Raw genomic sequence first — 20,019 nt, 5'->3', positions numbered from 1 at the left:
GCTTTTAAATTTACCAATTCTCCTTAGCCTAATTTCTTTTAGCTGTCCTGGAAAGACCTCTTTCAATAACTCACAGAAAAGCATCAGCCCCATCACCGCCACAAAAAATAACAAATTAAGATTTCAGAATTATCACTTGGTAATTTACTTGAATTTTTTATTGTTTTGTTTTTTACGATGAATATTCGTTTGTTTTTGTAGATGCCATAAGCTCAAATTCTACTTCCAAAATATGTTTCAATTTGCCCAGGTCTTTTCATCTCTACCCTAATGCATGTCCATCTCTCTGAAGATTTACTACAGGAGCTTCTTCTGTTCTCTTTCTTTTCTTTTTTTCTTTTCTTTTCTTTCTTTCTTTTCTTTCTTTTCTTTCTTTTTTTTTTTTTTTTTTTTTGAGAAGGAGTCTTGCTCTGTCGCCGAGGCTGGAGTGCAATGGCGCAATCTCGGCTCACTGCAACCTCCGCCTCCCGGGTTCAAGTGATTCTCCTGCCTCAGCCTGCCGAGTAGCTGGGATTACAGGCACCTGCTATGATTTCCAGCTAATTTTTGTATTTTTTTTTAGATGGAGTCTCACTCTGTCCCCTGTCTGGAGTGCAGTGGTGCAATGTCGGCTCACTGCAACCTCCAACTCCCTGGTGTAAGTGATTCTCCTGCCTCAGCCTCCTGAGTAGGTGGGATTACAGGAACGCACCACCACGCCCAGCTAATTTTTGTATTTTTAGTAGAGACGGGGTTTCACCATGTTGGCCAGGATGGTCTCGAACTCCCGACCTCAGGTGATTCACCCACCTCGGCTTCCCAAAATACTGGGATTACAGGCATTAGCTACCGTGCCCAGCCCCTTCCCCTTTTATATTTGCATTCCCTCCACAGAAAATAATGAACCATATGACTCTACTTCCTAAAAGTATTCATCAAGCGCACATGCTTAATGTGGCCTACTAGGCTGTCTTTTTTTTTTTTTTTTTTTTCTGATAAGGAGTCTTCCTCTGTCGCCCAGGCTGGAGTGCAGTGCCGCGATCTCGGCTCACTGCAAGCTCCGCCTCCCGGGTTCACGCCATTTTCCTACCTCAGCCTCCCGAGGAGCTGGGACTACAGGTGCCCGCCACCAGGCCCGGCTAATTTTTTGTATTTTTAGTAGAGACAGGGTTTCACCGGGTTAGCCAGGATGGTCTCCATCTCCTGACCTCGTGATCCGTCCACCTCGGCCTCCCAAAGTGTTGGGATTACAGGCCTTAGCTACCGCGCCCAGCCCTTTCCCCTTTTATATTTGCATTCCCTCCACAGAAAATAATGAATCACATGACTCTACTTCCTAAAACTATTCATCAGGCGCACATGCTTAATGTGGCCTACTAGGCTGTTCTTCATTGGACTCCAGCCATCCTCCCCTCCTACCACTATTCTTTTCAAACACTGTACTCTAGTCACATGGTCTCAGGTTCTTCAATACACCAAGCTGTTTCCTCCTCAGGGCCTCTGCACATGCTGTTCCTCTTACCTACCATGCTCTTTTCTCCACTGTTTAGTCTCTTCTATAATTATAGTTACATTTCACTTGTTTTGTCTATAGGTTAGAAAAGTTAAAAGCCAATAAATAGCGTTTAAGAAATTATTTTGTGCATATGAGTCATTATAAAAACAAGTAGTGGTCGGGCGCGGAGGCGCAGGTCTCTAATCCCAGCACTTTGGTAGGCCCAGGCGGGTGGATCACAAGGTCAGAAGATCGAGACCATCCTGACGGTGAAACCCCATCTCTACGAAAAATACAAAACGTTAGTTGGGCGTAATGGCGGGCGCCTGTAGTCCCAGCTACTCGGGAGGCTGAGGCAGGAGAATGGCGTGAACTCGGCTCTTGCAGTGAGCCGAGATCGCGCCATTGCACTCCAGCCTGGACGACAGAGCGAGACTCCACCTCAAAAAAAAAAAAAAAGGTAGTAAGATTGGACCCTTTAAATAAATAAAAATTCCACTCTGCCCGGGGCGGTGGCTCACGCCTGTAATCCCAGCACTTTGGGAGGCCGAGGCGGGCAGATCACAAGGTCAGGAGATTGAGACCATCCCGGCCAACACGGTGAAAACCCGTCTCTCCTAAAAATACAAAAAAATAAGCCGGGCGTGGTGGCGGGAGCCTGTGGTCCCAGCTACTGGGCAGGAGAATGGCGTGAACCCGGTAGGCGGAGTTTGCAGTGAGCGGTGATCGCGCCACTGCATCCAACCTGGGCGACAGAGCGAGACTCCGTCTTAAAAAAAAAAAAATTCCACTGTTAAGTATTTACCCAAGAGAAATAAAAGCGTATGTCCACAAAAAGACTTGTACTTAAATATTCATAGGGCTATATTCCTAATAGCCCCAAGTTGTAAACAACCCAAATTCTGTCAGCTGAAGAATGGATAAACAAAGTGTACTATATTGTACAGTGTACTATTAGTCAACAAAGCAAGAGAACCTTGAATACATGCAACAATGTGAGCCTCCAACATAATATATTGAACAAAAGAAGCTAGATAATATGTTAATAGAAGAGTGCTTATGGTACGATTTTTTTTTTTTTTTTTTTTTTTTTTTGAGATGGAGTCTTTCCCTGTCATCCAGGTTGGAGTGTAATGGCATGATCTTGGCTCACTGCAACCTCTGCCTCCTGGGTTCAAACGATTCTCCTGCCTCAGCCTCCCAAGTAACTGAGATTACAGGTGCCTGCCACCATGTCCGGCTAATTTTTGTCTTTTTAGTAGAGATGGGGTTTCACCATGTTGGCCAGGCTGCTCTCGAACTCCTGACCTCGTGATCTGCCCGCCTCAGCATCCCAAAGTGGTGGGATTACAGGTGTGAGCCACCACTCTGGGCCATGATATGATTCTATCTACGTAAAGTTAAAAGGCAAGCAAACCAATCTATAGCTATGGAAATCAGAACAACTATTGCCTCTGGGTGTGTGTGTGTAGGGTGTGGGCATTGGCAAGAAAGGGCGCAAGGGAGCTTCCAGGGGGGATGCCAATGCTCTGTATCCTGCTTTGGGTTACGAAGGTGTATACATTTGTCAAAACTCATTAAACTGTAAACTGAAGATCTGTGCTTTTTATTGTGTGTGAAATATATCTCAAAGAATAACATAATCTTATGTTTTTGTAACTTGGCTGCTCAAAAAAGACAGTTTCAAGAATCAAGTCCAATGAATCATTTTATTTTCTTTCTAGCTTCCTTCACTTCTCCTGGATCATACTCAAAGCTCATGTATGTTATTAATGAGAGAGGTTATCACACATGCCTCTCTATAGGACTCTTATTTTACATGTTATTTTATGATCTCACATATTTCATTTTCAAGCCTACATCAAATTAGAAGTAGCTGAAAAGTACAATGCGGCACACTGGTAATAGTGAGTAGGGTGATACCTTGACAGCGAAGGTGAAAAAAAAACACTAAAAGTATGACCTAAGAATTAAAAAAGAGTGTGGGCCTAGAATAATTGAGCCATGAATCAGACATGGCTATATATTTTTCTAGACAAAGGGCATCACACTTTATAATAGGACTCATCCAGAAATGTTAAATTAAATGTAATATACTCTATTTTAAATGTGAGGAAGGATAAATACATGAAAATTCCACAGAGAACAGTTTAGAAAATATTTTTGTTTTGGTGCTCAAAGGGCTAAAACATCAGCTATCTGGATTAATCCAGGCAACAATTAAAGCCACTCCATGGTAGAGCCTGGCACTGGTGGTAAAAGAGCAACCTTCAAGAAAATGACTGACATTAAACAACTATGTGGAGCTTTAGGCAACTAAAGCGAGTCATGCAGTACCAACAGGTAATGACTTAGCACCATTACTGCCCACGTGTCATTCTCTTATTGCTATAATGATGCTGAGTAATTCAGAGAGCATGTGCTTTCCTTGAGTCACGTGGGTGTGAGCACTTCATAGGGTGAGGTCGTAAAAAGGTCTTGCTAGTTCTTCTGAAAGCAAACCATTCTAAAGGGGCTCTCAGAGAGTTTTCTGGATTATTTCTACTCTATATTTATTTTTGTTTTCAGTTTTTATATTTTTTAGAGACAGGGTCTCACTATATTGGCCAGGCTGGTCTTGAACTCCTGGCCTTAAGTGATCCTCCTACCTCGGCGTCCCAAAGCACTAGGATTGCAGGAATAAGCCACCATGCTGGGCCAATTTTTTTGTTTGGTTGTTTTAAGAGATGAGGTCTCACTTTGTCACCCAGCCTGGAATGCAGTGGTAGATCATAGCCCCCTGCAGCCTCGAATTCCTGGGTTTAAGCAATCCTCCTGTCTCAGCCTCCCAGTTAGCTAGGACTACAGGCCCAAGCCACCACACTCAGCTCAGCTCTCTGAAGATTTGATCATAGAAATTTTCCAGTAAACTTGAAAAAATAAAAGAAAAAAACTAAACTTCCTATAACAAACACTGTACAAGGAGAGGTAAAGTATTAAAGACACTTTGTTGTGTTGAAGAAGAAGCATGATAAGTAGAATTTTGAAATAAGAGAAAAAGGTGGAATGGCCAAGAGGAAGAGGTCTTCTGATTTTAAAGACTAAAGAAAATCTTGCTGAAATTAGATAGCCTAATGAAAAGGAGAACCCTCCTAGTTTGAGGTATTGCATCCCTGAACTCAGATTTCTATTTTAATTAGATGCTGTGTTTCTGCAGGGATGAAGGCCCCATGGAAGAATTCTCACAGGGAGGCAGATGCTGTTGGAAGGAGAGAGCCTGGAATGTCCGTAGTGGTCAAGAGAAATGTGTATGTGGGCGTGTGGGAGGGTATCAAGGGAAGTGATCACTGCCAAGCTGATTTATTTTTTAACTGCCAAAGCATTCCCGGGATATTCTTCCTGGTTGCTAGGATCAGAGAGCTGGTAAGTTTCAACAATACGTCTATCTATTCCAAGTACAAGCATTTTTTTGGTAAACATATTTTTAATCCTAAAAAGACAACGATAAGATTAAGGAAACTTTGAAACAAAATGACCACTCATAATTCCACTACTCTTTAGTAGGTGATATTGTATTTTTGTGTTTTCTTCTAGTCTAAACACTCTCTTTAACAAGACTTTTAGGTGAATTTTCTGTTGGCATAATATCTGTTAAAGCAGCTTCTAACACCCAACAAGCTGGGAATAATTCTACAGTCCTGCATCACTCTGCATTTAGGTGGAAAGTTGAACCTCAGAGATAAATTATTAATACCTGTAAATAAAATTTCATGACAATTTTCAAGATTCTGCATTTCCACAACTGCTGATCAGTGACTGTGTAGCTTGCTGAAGTAAAGGAAGGCAAACATTGTGGGTAAGAGAACCTCTCCATAGCTCTCCAGAAGGAGCCGAAGGGTCGTCCATCCTAACTCACTGTTTAGTAAGAAAATTGAGCCCCAGAAAGGTTACAGAGCTAATAAGTGTTAGAGCTCAGACTCGAGCCAAGGTCTTAAAAAATAAAACTTAAAATTTTAAATAACGTGAGACTTATGGAAAAGTTACAAAAATAGTGCAGAGACTTTATGTATAACCTTCACCCAGCTTTCCCTAATGTTAATAATTATGCAGCCATAGTTAAATGATCAAAACCAGAAAATTAACTTAATTCACACTGGTACAATACTATTAAATTACAGACCTAATTTGAATTTTATGAGTTTTCTCCCTTGTGTCTTTTTTTTTTTTTTCTGTATGTTCTGATTCAGAATCCCATGTTGCATTTAGGTACCACTTGTCCGACTTCTCCAATCTGAGAGATTGTCTCACACTCTGCCTTCTATGACCTTGACCCTTTTGAAGAGTCAGGGTCAGCATTTTGGGAGGCCGGGGTGGGTGGATCACCTGAGGTCAGGAGTTAAAGACCAGCCTGACCAACGTGATGAAACCCCATCTCTATTAAAAATACAAAACAATTAGCTGGGCATGGTGGCAAATGCCTGTAATCCCAGCTACTCGGGAGGTCGAGGCAGAAGAATCGCTTGAACCAGGAGGCAGAGATTGTAGTGAGCCAAGATGTTGCCACTGCACTCCAGCCTGGGCGATGAGTGAGACTCTGTCTCAAAAAAAAAAAAAAAAAAAAAAAAAGATTTAAAAAAAAACACTGGCATCTGGCAGGTCTCTCCACTGTACACCTACTATGTTTTCTTTTGTGATTGACAGATATCTTGGAGGAGATACACTGAGACTATGCTAATATCCTGTTTTACCTCAAACTTTCACCCAATGATTTTAGACTACCAGTAGATCTTGTCTGCAACAATTATTATTGTGCTGTCCACCCAACAGTGACTTTGTATTTTCCTCATTTCTCCTGCATTCATTAATTACAATTCTCCTGTAAGGTAGAAGTATCACTTCTCCCCCATTTATTTATGTATTTATTCATTCACTTATTTATTTATGCTGATATATATGGACTGATGGATATTTATTTTATTCCACTAGTTTAGAATCAAATATTGTCATTATTTTCTTGGTCAAACTGTTCCGACTTTGGCCATTGGAAACTCCAATGGTGGGCTCTTCATCCTTTTGACTCTGTCATTGGGGAGTAGCTGTTGTTGTTTTGAGTCCTTCTTTATTTTCTGATATCACAAGATTTTCATGCTCAATTAGATTTTCCCTGACCCAGACCTGGAATCAACCACTTTTCCAAGGAACTCTATGAACCAAGACCTTCTAATGTAAACCTCTTGTGCTCCTTCCATTGGCTCACGTTATATCTGAAACAATTTAGACTTGAACCCTGTACAAAGTTTTTCAAAAATATACTGCAAAGACAGGTGGAGTCTGTACTTGTTGAGCTTGTTCCAGTCGTCAAACATAGTTTATGTTACTCCCAGTGCTCCTCTGTCCACCCTATTTGTACCACCAGCATGATCCAGACATGAGGAAGATGAGAAGCTAATGGAAGTAGATTAAAGCGTAGACAAGGGTATAGATGTAAACAGAGATGATGTGGATACAGATGACGAGATGGATAGGGAGGCTGGGAGAATCTCTAGATGGAACTCAAATATGCACAGCTAAATTCTTTTTTCTTCATCACTATGCAAATAAAAAACACAAAGCTTTTAAAAGCAAGTCCAGAATTTTTGAAGTTTACATTTTTCTGCCTCTTTTGACTCTGCCTGTAGGGAAAGTGCTCTCTGTGACTTCAACTTTTCTTCTCTCTCTCCCCCCACCTCAAGTTGCCTCTGTCAGCTGTCTGGGCTGGTTTATGGGGTCATGGCAAACCTGCTTCTCCATGAGTCTCACACACTCACTGGGTGTGTATTATTATATGCCCTGTGTTAGGGATGAATAAAATTAAACACATGAATGTTAGATAAGAACCGAGTTAAATTCACGGAAATTAAGAGAAAGACTGGAAACAAACAAAAAACTCTAGATTTCCAATCTTTCCATAAATAATAGGACTTTACAAAAAAAAAAAACCTAGAAGAACTATTCCAAATAGATGAGTATGAAATGTCTGCAGTAAGTCCTATCTTCCATTTCAGAATCCAAGAACACTCGAGAGTAACAACTGCACAGTTTCCTGGGGTATGTTATGAGTACAGGATTGTTTCTCTGCTTTATGCACAGTAATTCCATACATTTTCTATAAAGATGACACTATACTTTTTCTATATCCTTGTCAGTGTGTGTGCATGTATGTGCATGGTGTGTGTCTTTGACAGAGATAGAGGAAAAGGGGGAAAGAGAGAGAGATAATGTACTAGTTTCTTATTTTTACAGGAAATTTAAGACATGTCAGCACAAATCTAGACTGAGACTGACTCATTCGGCAGGAAGAATATGTCTACATGCCAGAGTAAGCAGAAAATGGGGTGAGATCTCAAGAAAAGGGAGTGGGAAGGCAGTTTACAATTTAAGATATGAATAGAGGTGGCTTATTAAAATTATTTTCAGCCGGGAAGAGGTGGGTGGCTCACACCTGCATTTTGGGAGGCCAAGACGGGTGGATCACAAGGTCAGGAGATCAAGACCATCCTGGCTAACACTGTGAAACCCCGTCTCTACTAAAAATACAAAAGAACTTAGCTGAGCTTGGTGGCGAGCACCTGTAGTCCCAGCTACTTGGGAGGCTGAGGCAGAATGGCGTGAACCTGGGAGGTGGAGCTTGCAATGAGCCAAGATGGCGCCACTGCACTCCCCCTTGGGCAACAGAGCGAGACTCCGTCTCAAAAAACAAAAATTATTTTCAATTTCTCCTAGTCATGTTGAATTTTTATCCTGACTTCCACAGTGCTTTTTTCAAACTATCTAGAAAATTTCCTCCTCCCGTTTGATTCCAACAATCATTGAGCCATTAAGTCTAACGTATTCTACCTTCTCTACATCTTGTGCACTCATCTCCTCCTTTCTATTCCCACAGGTACCCACCTGATCTCAGCTCACTGCAACCTCTGCCTCCCGGGTTCAAGAGATTCTCCTGCCTCAGCCTCCTGAATAGCTGGGATTACAGGTGCGTGCCACCTCGCCCAGCTAATTTTTGTATTTTTAGTAGAGTTGGGGTTTCACCATGTTGGTCAGGAAGGTCTCAAACCCCTGACCTCGTGAACCGCCCTCCTCGGCCTCCCAAAGTGTTGGGATTATAGGCGTGAGCCTCAGCGCCCGGCCTTATTTTTGGTTTTGTTTTTGTTTCCTTCAAGCGAACTCCCTCACCAAGTGTTGTCTGGACTGCTATAGTCTTATTCTCATTCTGGACTGCCTCTGAATTATTCACCCCTTGAAACTCATCCTAAGCATGTTCTCTTACTCAATAAGAGCCAGCTGTTTCTCTCTTCGTGCAGCCAGCAAACCTTGTGTTAACCCATTCTATAATTCTGCCCTGAACGTATTCTAATTAATAGTTTACATACTTTTCTCCCCTACTTGACGGAGACTGTGAGCTTCTTGAGGAGTGGGGATTGTGTCCTTATTTTTGTATCCCAATGCCTAACAGTGTCGGGCAAACTAAGTGTTTGGTCAATGAATAAAAAAATGAACATATAGGTGGAGGGTTGTGGCTCACGCCTGTAATCCCAGCACTTTGGGAGGCCGAGGTAGGCGGATCACGAGGTCAGGAGATCGAGACCATCTTGGCTAACACGGTGAAACCCCGTCTCTACTAAAAATACAAAAACTTAGCCGGGCTGTGGTGGGGGTGGGGGGGGGCGCCTGTAGTCCCAGCTACTTGGAGGCTGAGGCAGGAGAATCACTTGAACCCGGGAGGCGGAGCTTGCAGTGATCCGAGATGACGCCACTGCACTCCAGCCTGGGCGACAGAGCAAGACTCCATCTCAAAAGAAAAAAAAAGGAACATATAAGTGGGTGAATAAATGAAAAAATCTACTCAGTACACTGATGAAATATTAACTAGTAAACTACTCACCATCAATCCCAGCAAACGTTTCTCCCTGGGGCCAACAATGTATTACATGGAAGATCGTCTCCCTTAAGAAGAGTCTTACAAGCTGTAGTTTCTCTTCTACAAATAAATTATGTTTTTCAAAATATCAAGAGTTATGCTTCATTTTTGAAGAAATTTATAGTTATTGGGCCTCATATCTCCATCTAGTGAAGCAAATTGGTAATACACCAATTAAGATACCCGGGTATGAATATAAGAAACACAGTTGTGAAAAAATTATTTATAGAAAATTATCCTTCCTTTTCCAAGGTTCAAAAACCTTGAATTGTATCTACTTTATATTTTCTGGAGTTCAGCAAGTTCTTTCTTTTCCGGATAGCCTATTTCTAAATATCTGGACAGTGTCATGCTATTGGAAAATATATGGGTGTATAGAAAACTTACGATTAGCTTGTTTTTCACCACTTTTAAATCAAAGAACCATTGATATTTGTTAACATGAATGTTATTTAGATATGTTATAGAATAATATGAATAAAATTTTTGTAAATTATGCTAACAATCCTACCAATTTAACAAATATTTATAAAGGATTTTCTATTTTTGCTTTTTGTTTTGTTTTGTTTTGAGATGGAGTCTCACTCTGTCACCCAGGCTGAAGTGCAATGGCGCGATCTCGGCTCACTGCAACCTCCGCCTCCCGGGTTCAAGTGATTCTCCTGCCTCAGCCTCCTGAGTAGCTGGGATTACAGGTGCCCCCCACCGTGCCTGGCTAATTTTTGTATTTTTAGTAGAGATGGGGTTTCACCATGTTGGTCAGGCTGGTCTCAAACTCCTGACCTCGTGAACAATCCACCTTGGTCTCCTAATGTGCTGGGATTACAGGGGTGAGCTCCTGCGTCCGGCCTCTTTTTTGTTTTTGTTTCCTTCAACATTTATTTTAAGTTCTGGAGTACATGTGCAGGATGTGCAGTTTCGTTACATTGGTAAATGTGTGCCATGGTGGTTTGCTGCACAGATCAACCCATCACCTTGGTATTAAGCCCAGCATCCATTATCTGTTCTTCCTGATGCTCTCCCTCCCTGCATCAGGCCCTCCCCGCAACAGGCCTCAGTGTGTTTTGTTCCCTGCCATGTGTCCATGTGATCTCACCATTCAGCGCCCACTTATAAGTGAGAACATGTGTTGTTTTGTTTTCTGTTCCTCTGTTAGTTTGCTGAAGATAACAGCTTCCAGCTCCATCTGTGTCCCTACAAAGGACATGATCTCATTCCTTTTTATGGCTGCATAGTATTCCATGGTGTATGTGTACCACATTGTCTTTATCCAGTTTATTATTGATAGGCATTTGGGTTGATTCCATGTCTTTGCCATTGTGAATAGTGTTGCAATAAACATACAGGTGCATGTATATTTATGACAGAATGATTTATATTCCTTTGGGTATATACCCAGTAATGGGATTGCTGCGTCAAATGCTATTCCTGCCTTTAGATCTTTGAGGAATTGCCATACTGTCTTCCACAAGGGTTGAACTAATTTACATTCCCATCGACAGTGTAAAAGCTTTCCTTTTTCTCTGCAACCTTGCCAGTATCTGTTGTTTCTGGACTTTTTAATAATTGCCATTCTGACTGGCATGAGATGATATCTCATTGTGGTTTTGATTTGCCTTTCTCTAAAGATCAGTGATGTTAAGCTTTTTTTTCATATGTTTGTTGGCCACATGAATGCCTTCTTTTGAGAAGTGTCTGTTCATGTTCTTTGCCTACTTTTTAATGGGGTTGTTTGTTTTTTTCCTTGTAAATTTGTTTAAGTTCCTTATAGATTCTGGATATTAGGCCTTTGTCAGACAGACAGATCGCAAAAATTGTCTCCCATTCTGTAGGCTCTCTGTTCACTCTGATGATAGTTTCTTTTGCTATGCAGAGGCTCTTAGGTTCAATTAGATCCCATTTATCAATTTTTGCTTTGGTTGCAATTGCTTTTGGCGTTTTTGTCATGAAATCCTTACCTGTGCCTATGTTCTAAATGGTATTGCCTCAGCAATACTCAGCCTCAGCCCAGTTCTGTGCCCTTGCTGGAGAGGTGTTGCGGTCATTTGGATGAAAAGAGACACTCTAGCTGTTGTGTGGTCTCCCTGATGTCCTGGAATGTCCTGGCCAATTGAGTGATGTTTTTTCACTCCAGTGCATCCTCCATGACCAGCCAGCTCTTCCCTCCCCAGCTCTTGCCCTGCAGTGACTCTGAAAGCTTGTTGTTCCATTTACTGCTTACACTCACTTTATTTCATAGAGTAAAAGGTGCTTTTCAAACATAAGTTTATGTTGTTTGTCTTCAGCTTCCCCTCTATTCTCTCACCATGTCATTGGCGTGGAGAAGCAGGAACCTAAACATGGGAAGTGAACATCAAAATATGTCATGATCACAGTGTGCTTCAAGGTAAATACCACTTCAGCACGATATCCATTTGTATAAAGCTTAAAAATAACTGTCACAAAGTAATATATTTTCAGATATATCTATATTTACATCTACATCTCCCCTGTCTATACATAGATACATATCTAGACTATAAAGAAAAGCACAGGGATTATGAACATAACCTTCAGAAGAGTGGTCACCTCTGTTGCGAAGCAAGGGGACTGGATCAGAGAAGAAATTCCAGCAGTCCTGTAGCTTCCACGGGACTAGAAATGTTTCATTCTGCATGAGGTCATGGGTTTATGGATGTTATTTAATTGTTATGCTTCATAACTTAGATGCACATCCCATGTTGAGAATATCTCCTATAGAAACAAAGCACTTGTATTTAAGAATGTGTAAAAAAAACAAAGGGAAAATAAAATAAAGAAATATAGTTACTATATAAGCTTCATGTTTGTTCTACTTATACATGCTTATCTAAGTGTGATACTTTATTTTTTATAAAGGCCAAGTTTAATGATTAAATATTATGAGCATTATCCTATAATACACAACAATAAAAATAATTTATGTTCTAAAACTAGTTTTTTAAAAAAACTTTAAGCAATATAACAAGCACATTATTCAGTTAAAAATAAATACGCATGCATAAATATAATAAGGTGTATTATGCCGATAAAAGAATATTGAATATGAAAGAGTGGAGAAAGTCTGGAAGCATAAAAAAGAAGTAAATTATAATGCTTTCATATGAGGATTTAAGAAAGTTCCAGGGCATGGGGGCTCATGCCTATAATCCCAGCACTGTTGGAGGCTGAGGCAGGCAGATTGCTTAAGCCCAGGAGTTCAAGATGGGGTTTCACCATATTGGCCAGGATGGTCTTGATCTCTCGATCTCAGCTGATCCACCCGCCTTGGCCTCCCAAAGTGCTGGGATTACCGGCATGAGCCACCATGCCCGGCATTATTTAAGACTTACTAAAGGCTGGGCACAGTGGCTCACGCCTGTGATCCCAGCACTTTCGGAGGCCAAGGTGGGGAGATCACTTGAGCTCAGGAGTTTGAGACCAGCCTGGCCAACACAGTGAAACCTCATCTCTACTAAAAATACAAAAATTAGCACAGTGTGGTGGCGTGAGCCTGTAATCCCAGCTACCAGGGAGGCTTAGGTGAGAGAATCGCTTAAGCCCAGGAGGCAGGGGTTGCAGGGACCCGAGATGGTGCCACTGCATTCCAGCCTGAGTGACAGACTGAGACCCTGTCTCAAAAAAAAAAAGTCTTACTATAGAGGTATAGTAATCTATAGGTATGATATTAGCATAATAATAGACAAAGAAGCCAACAGAACAGAATAGAAACCAGAATGATGCCCATATATATGTATATATATCAATTGTATTTCTATATACTAGCAAGAGACAATTGAGAAATGAAATAAAAAGGACCATTTGCAATAACATCAAATACATAGACCTATTTATTAAAAAATCATAAACCCATATAAATGAAAAAATATGCCATGTTTATGGGTTGGAAGAATCAAGTTTGTTGGGTAACAGAGTGAGACCCTCAAAAAAAAAAGTCTTACTGTAGAGGTGTAGTAATCCATATGGTATGGTGTTAGCATAATAATTGATAAAGAAGCCAACAAGCTAATAGAACAAAGACCAGACTATACACATATTATATATATATATGCCCATATATATACATAGTCAATTATTACTGACATGGTGTTAAGGCAATTAGTTCAATGGGGGAAAAAGTCTTTCCAATAGATGGTGCTTTTCCAATTGGATAAACATATGCAAAATAGAAAAGAAATAAAGAAACCGGACCCCTCCCCTTACACTATACACAAAAATAAAATTGATACGAATCGTATATCTAAGCCAGTTTTTCTCAACTGTTCTTGCATTATCACCATCCCCCATTAGGAGTGTTTTAAGACATATTCTCCCTCTAATCACCCCCGGCTCCACCATAGCCAAAATAAAGAAAAATAGATTGTCCTTAGTTTGGATTCCCACAGAAGTGAACTCTGTGAGACAAGGATTTAAAATACCTGCAGGGAAGTGGAAAACAGACAGGGAGGGGAAGGCCACAGATACCAGCTATATTATCAAGCATGTCATCACCAGTGCCAGCTAGAGCTTTCTCCCACTGCAGAGCTCTGACAGCAAGTGTAGAGCATGTGCTTCAGAGTCTTCCTGTCCCAAGGTCAAGGGAGCTAGGGTATGCATAAACCACGGCGCATCAGTCATTGGTTGAGATCTCTGCTCAGGGCTTATTAATCCCCTTCCCTTCTGGCCTGTTTTGAGTGAGGACCTAGAAGGTTCTGATGGCCAGGGAAACCCTCAGGCAGAGATTAAGGTGCAGGTGTGAACTGAAATAGGGAAGCTTGAGTGGAAATGGATGGCCACCGACATCTTCTGCTACAAATACCAAGTGTGAGCCGGGATGTGGAGTACTGGAAACTCTGACACTGGCATGATCACTTTGGAAGAACCGTTTGATTATTTAGGCTGAACATATGTATACCCTCTGGTCCAGTAATTCCACTCCTAACTCCACATCCAACAGAAACATGAACACAAGTTCATGAAACAATATGTATAAATGTTCACATAAGCACTATTCTTAATAGCAAAAAATCAATAATTCCCAAATGTTCATTAGCAGTAGAATGAATAAATACAACATGTTACATTTATACAGTGGGAAACTCTACAGCAATGAGTTTGAACGAACTACAACTATATGCATCAAAGTGGCTGCATCCCATAAGTGTAATATTGAGGGAAAGAAGGTAGAGAAGAGTATACTGAATAATTCAACTCCTAAATGAATTATCCTATTAGAAATCAGAAGTGAGTCAGGCAGTGGTTAGCCTCAGGAGGGCGGTAACTAGAAGGAGACTTCTAGGTACTGGTAATGTTTTGCTCTTTGGTCTGAGTACTGGTTATGAGTGCTGAGTACATACTGTACTGTGTATTTACACTGTGAATGCTCATTGAACTTTATACTTGTGATTTGTGCACTTTTCTGTATGTTTGTTATACCTCAACCAAAATTTTACACCTCAAAGAAGTCAATGCTGGCCTTTGTCGCCTACCTCTCCACACCATAAAAAGTGTGATTAAGGCTGGACACAGTGGCTCACGCCTGCAATTCCAGCACTTTGGGAGGCTGAGGCAGGCAGATCACAAGGTCAGGAGTTCGAGACCAGCCTGACCACCACGGTGAAACCCCATCTCTACTAAAAATACCAAAATTAACTGGGTGTGGTGATGCATGCCTGTAATCCCAGCTACTCAGGAGGCTGAGGCAGGAGAATTGCTTGAACTTGGGAGGCAGAGGTTGCAGTGAGCTGAGATCGCACCACTGCATTCCAGAGCGAGACTCTGTCTCAAAAAAAAAAAAAAAGCGTGATTAAATAGACTGATCAGTGAAACAGAACTGAATGTCTATAAATAGATCCTAATACATGTGGCACTTTACACAAAGATAAAGGTGGCTTTTCAATTTAGTGATAAATAGAAAATTCAACAAATGGTGTTGGGATAAATGAGTAGCCATTTGGAACAAAAATTAGTTTAGCTCTACTTTATATCTTACACCAAGGTATATTTCAGATGAATAAAAGATTCTTATTTTTTTTTAAGAGACAGGGTCTTACGCTGTCATCCAGGCTGCTGGAGTCCAGAGACTCACTACAGCCTTGAACTCCTGGACTCAAGTGATCCTCTCTCCTCAGTCTGCTGAGTAGCTGGGACTACAGGTGTGCATCACCATACCTGGCTACCTGGATAATTGTTAGGTTTTTTTTTTTTTTTTCTAGAAACTGGGTCTCACTCTGTTGCCTAGGCTGGTCTCAAACTCCTCCAATCTCAGCCTCTCAAAGCATTAGGATTACAGGTGTGAGCCACTGTGCCAGGCCCAAAAGATTTAAATTTTAAAATAAAACAATAAAATGAGTCAAAGAAACATTGAGAATAATTTTTATAACTTTACAGTTTTTTTAAAAAGCACAATATAGCAAAAGACCTCCTAAAACTAGAAGACTGATGAATTAAATTGTTTAAAAATGTGTGGCAAAATCCACAATAAATAAAAAGTTAGATAACAAATTGGGAAAAATATTTCCAATTCATAATGCATATAGACAGCTAACATCACCAGTGTAAAAGAGCTCTTTCAGATCAATAAGGAAAACATGAATAAGCCACCAGAAACATGGACAAAAAGTATACACAAACAGTTCATTGAAAAGAAATAAAAGTGACTCAAGGCCAGGTGCAGTGGCTCGTCCCTGTAATCCCAGCACTTTGGGAGACCGAGGAGTTCGAGAGCAGCCTGACCAACATGGCAAAACCCCGTCTCTACTAAAAATACAACAGTTAGCTGGGCGCGGCGGCACAGGTCCGTAGTCCCAGCTACTTGGGAGGCTGAGGCAGGAGAATGGCTTGAACCCGGGAGGCAGAGGTTGCAGTGAGCCAAGATCACCTCACTGCACTCCAGCCTGGGTGACAGAGCAAGATTCTGTCTCCAAACAAACAAAAAAAAAGACTCAAACATGTGAAAAGATGCTCAACCTTACTCATGATGAATAAAATAAAAATGAAAGCTACAAATATATTATTCCTGTAGTGCTGGAGTACACCAGGTATTATAAAAGTATTTTAAAATACACTTAGTTGTCAAGAGTATGGGGAAACAGGTAGTTTCTTACATTGCTAGTGAATAAAAGTTGGTGAAATCTTTATGGGCAACAGTTTACTGAAAGGCAAGATCTATTAATATTACAGATGAATATACCATCTGAGCATATCATTTAATCCAATAATTTTACTTTGGGAATATATCTTACAAATATGTTAGAACATAAGTAAAATTACACACACACACACACACACACGTTATTAATCTTATTTTGAGTAGCAAAAAATTGGACCAAAAAATCCTAATATCTATCAATAGAAAATTGGTAAATAAAATGCAGCCATCCAAAAGAATAAAAAACAATTATTTTACAAATATGGAACAACTTCAAGTGACAAAAGCAATGTGTAGGAGTTGTATAATATTATATAGTATCTATCGTTTATATTTTTTAAAAGGTAAAAAATATACTTTATAGACTTAGAAATAAAATTAACAATAGAAGTATAAATCGAACTCATAAAATATAAGTGAATAGTAAAGGGTTGACTCAGCAGCAATGGGATTGCATGCCTCAAAGAAAAGACTGACTCTTGACCAACTATTAGCTCTTGAAATATCCTGCCTGATAAGAGTGTCTTTGTATACCTCGGGCCTTGGGCAATGCCAGAGTTTGTGCTAATAATGTAATTTATGGTGAACACCTGTTTTTGCTTGCCTGGAGCCCTGGGTCGTATTGTATGAGTTTGACTTCATAGGGAGGAATGGGTTGGACACTGCGTATTTAGGGTCAATAGTTGGGGGGCTTCATGCCTAGGCAGCTGACCTTGGACACAAAAGTTTGTGTGAGCATCCCTGGTTGACAATTCTTTGTCCATATTGTCACACGTCATTGCTGGGAGAATTAAGTTCTGTTCATATAACTCCACAGGGAGAAGACAACTGGAAGCTGCTCCTGGTTCTGCCTGGACTCTGCCCTAAGTGCCTTTTTCCTTCCGAATGTATTCTATAGCCTTTCATCGTAATAAACCATAACGGTGAATAGAACAGCTTGTCTAAGTTCTGTGAGTCCTTCTAGCTCCTTATTGAATACGGTGGCGGCATTGGGTCCCTCAACACACTAGATAAAGTAATTAGAGAAGCATTTATTTTTTTCAGATGCTGGCATTGAAAAGGAATAAAGACTACTTATTGAGTTAAGTATTCAATTTAAGATGTTAGATAAAGGGCAACAAAATAAAGAAAGTAGAAGGGGCTGTCTACTGTTTACCATCACACTTTGCTGCCTCTCTTGGACAATCTATAGACAAAGTTAATAAAAGAGTGCAACAAGTTTTCCGAATGCAGAATTGATATACAAAAAAGGATTGCATTTCTATATACCAGCAACAACAACTCAGAAAACATAATTTTAAAAGCAACACTACTAAAAATAACAACATAATCATTATGGAATCATGAAGATGTCAATTCTCCCAAAATTAATCCATAAACTTGATGCAATTCCAATACAAACTCAAGAGGATTTTTTTACAATACTGAACTAGCTAATGTCACAATTCATGAGGAAGAGCCTATGTTTAAAAATAAAGCACCAAAGTGGGAGACTTGTTCTCCCAGATTTAAATAATTATTAAAAAGTTAAGTTAAACAGTGTAGTATTGGTGCAGAGATAGATGTATAAGCTAATGAAATGAAAGAGGGCCTAGAAAGAGCCCAAATCACATATGGAAATATAAATGACAGACATGGCATCAGAACTCAGTGGTAAAAGATGAGAGTATTCATCTCCCATCTTTTTCAAAAGATGTTGAAATTCAAAAGGTGTTGAAATTTTTGGCTGTTGATATTATAATAAAAAATAACATTTGGTCCTTGTCCTTAGTTCCTGACACACAGCTCCTGAAGTCCTTGGAATCTCCAGAGTGATGACTGAGTTAATCACCAATGGTGAATGGCAATGATTATCTGTGAGGACCAAAGCTGAGTCTTCGTGCTTAGGGCAGGAGCGCAGACAAGGAGAGGGGCTCTTCCTTCTGAGACTTGTCATCTAGAACTCATTGTCACTGGAAGCCAGAGCCTAAATGGGCCTATCAGTTGCCTTGGGTTATAAGAACAAGTTTGAGTATTTATTCATTTATTTATCTTGAGTTCGGGGCCCCTGTGTATCTGCTCACTGCCTGCCCGCAGTTCAGCTTGTGCTTGGCTCACTCACCATTCAGCGAAATGAAGGAACCAGCGGAATGAAGGAACCAGCGGAGGGACCTCCGGGAGGAGGCGCTGCCCAGCGAGCCTGGCGCCGGGGGGCGGGGCCTGACGGGAGCTCTGCTCAGGCTTCAACATGGCGGGCCGTTTCGGTTGACTTCGCCTGTGGAAACCGAATTCCCCCTCCATGGTTTCCCCAGGATATGAGTTGGGGGCCTCACCTCGCCTATAAGGGTCAGGCGAGCTTTCTGGATGCTCGAGGGACCTTTCGGCCTGCGCAGCCGGAGCAGCTTGTCCCAATGCCCTGCCATTTCTGTGAGGGCCCACGAGGCCTGGAGGAGCCTCGGAGCCCCCGCAGGCCCTCGCGTCACTGCCTCAAGAGGGTGCTCGGAGCCCTGCTCGGGAGCTGGTCCCCAACGAGGTGTGGAACCCCTTCTTGCTGGAACTCCACGGAGAGACTGGTAATAAGATAGTAATAAGACCGACTACTGTTTATTGAACCTCCGCTAGTCACTGGCTGTCACGGGTTGGGCGAGGGGTGGAATATAAGGCCCAGAGTTCCTCTATTATAGCCATGGAGAGCCATTAATACCTGCTTAATAGAGTTGTGGTGAGACATGGAATGGGCAAGAAAGGCACTCGATTTATTTGATTTTTAGAATCATGATTATTATTATTATTTTGAGACGGAGTCTTGTTCTGTCGCCCAGGCTGGAGTGCAGTGGTGCGATCTCGGCTCACTACAAGCTCTGCCTCCCGGGTTCAAGCGATTCTCCTGCGTCACCCTCCCGGGTAGCTGGGATGACAGGCGCGCGCCACCATGCCTGGCTAATTTTTGCATTTTTGGTAGAGACGGGGTTTCATCATGTTGGCCAGGCTGGTCTCGAACTCCTGATCTCCACTAATCCACCCGCCTTGGCCTCCCAAAGTGTTGGGATTATAGGTGTGAGCCACCTCACCAGAAAGTGCCAAGAAAGGCACTTTAGACAGTGCCAGAGTTGAGGATTTGGCCTCTGACTTGCTGCAGTTGCCACACTGCAGTTGCCACACTGTGGCCTTAGAACAGTCTTATCCAGTCCTGAAAACCCCAGTGCCTTGGAAACATCAGGATTGGTCAGAAGGACAGTAAGTCCTTAAGGCGCCAGCCCCTGCTCCTCCCCCCAGATTGAGGGGTAAGTATTCCAAGCTCTATGCAGGACCCTAATCCTGGATGTGGACACCCACAGTCCTGCTAGGACCTGCTTCCAGAAGAGTTGATCCCAGCCGTGAAAGTGCATGATGCCTTCAGCGAAGCAGGCAGGAAAGGCTCAAGTGATCCTCCTGTATCACCCTGGTGAGTAGCCAGTAGCTGGGACCACAGGCGCGCACCAC

General features: G+C 41.5%; 2 long non-coding RNA genes across 4 annotated transcripts, besides 4 other annotated features; one reads left to right on the top strand and one right to left on the bottom strand.

The window, feature by feature from the left end:
- Positions 3,583-4,782: an enhancer, noted in NCBI's record as "CDK7 strongly-dependent group 2 enhancer chr13:52922389-52923588 (GRCh37/hg19 assembly coordinates)". NCBI's record gives its function as "activates an origin of replication core promoter dependent on BRD2, BRD4, P300/CBP, MED14 and CDK7 cofactors, with strong dependence on CDK7, by STARR-seq in HCT116 cells {active_cell/tissue: HCT116}" and the evidence as "EXISTENCE:reporter gene assay evidence [ECO:0000049][PMID:35650434]".
- Positions 3,803-3,932: a silencer, noted in NCBI's record as "silent region_5383". NCBI's record gives its function as "represses an Ori minimal core promoter by ATAC-STARR-seq in GM12878 lymphoblastoid cells {active_cell/tissue: GM12878}" and the evidence as "EXISTENCE:reporter gene assay evidence [ECO:0000049][PMID:35858748]".
- Positions 4,332-8,465, top strand: LOC105370207 (uncharacterized). Of its 3 annotated transcripts, XR_001749879.2 has the most exons (4): positions 4,332-4,761; positions 7,498-7,540; positions 7,736-7,811; positions 8,376-8,465. It is a non-coding gene; the product is annotated as an uncharacterized LOC105370207 (long non-coding RNA). The 3 variants fall into 3 exon arrangements; XR_007063810.1 differs by lacking the exon at positions 7,498-7,540; XR_007063809.1 differs by lacking the exon at positions 4,332-4,761 and having other exon boundaries at positions 6,109-7,540.
- A 2,687-nt stretch (positions 8,466-11,152) lies between these two features.
- Positions 11,153-18,741, bottom strand: LINC02333 (long intergenic non-protein coding RNA 2333). Its single transcript, NR_120400.1, has 3 exons — positions 18,659-18,741; positions 11,979-12,143; positions 11,153-11,743 (listed from the first exon to the last, which is right to left on the bottom strand). It is a non-coding gene; the product is annotated as a long intergenic non-protein coding RNA 2333 (long non-coding RNA).
- Positions 18,455-18,954: an enhancer, noted in NCBI's record as "H3K4me1 hESC enhancer chr13:52908217-52908716 (GRCh37/hg19 assembly coordinates)". NCBI's record gives its function as "activates a minimal SCP1, AML or CMV promoter by ChIP-STARR-seq in primed H9 embryonic stem cells {active_cell/tissue: H9 hESC(primed)}" and the evidence as "EXISTENCE:reporter gene assay evidence [ECO:0000049][PMID:30033119]".
- Positions 18,955-19,456: an enhancer, noted in NCBI's record as "H3K4me1 hESC enhancer chr13:52907715-52908216 (GRCh37/hg19 assembly coordinates)". NCBI's record gives its function as "activates a minimal SCP1, AML or CMV promoter by ChIP-STARR-seq in primed H9 embryonic stem cells {active_cell/tissue: H9 hESC(primed)}" and the evidence as "EXISTENCE:reporter gene assay evidence [ECO:0000049][PMID:30033119]".

Source organism: Homo sapiens, chromosome 13, assembly GCF_000001405.40.
Source record: "Homo sapiens chromosome 13, GRCh38.p14 Primary Assembly".
Taxonomy (NCBI): domain Eukaryota; kingdom Metazoa; phylum Chordata; class Mammalia; order Primates; family Hominidae; genus Homo; species Homo sapiens.
This window is presented reverse-complemented; position numbering and strand designations above follow the sequence as displayed.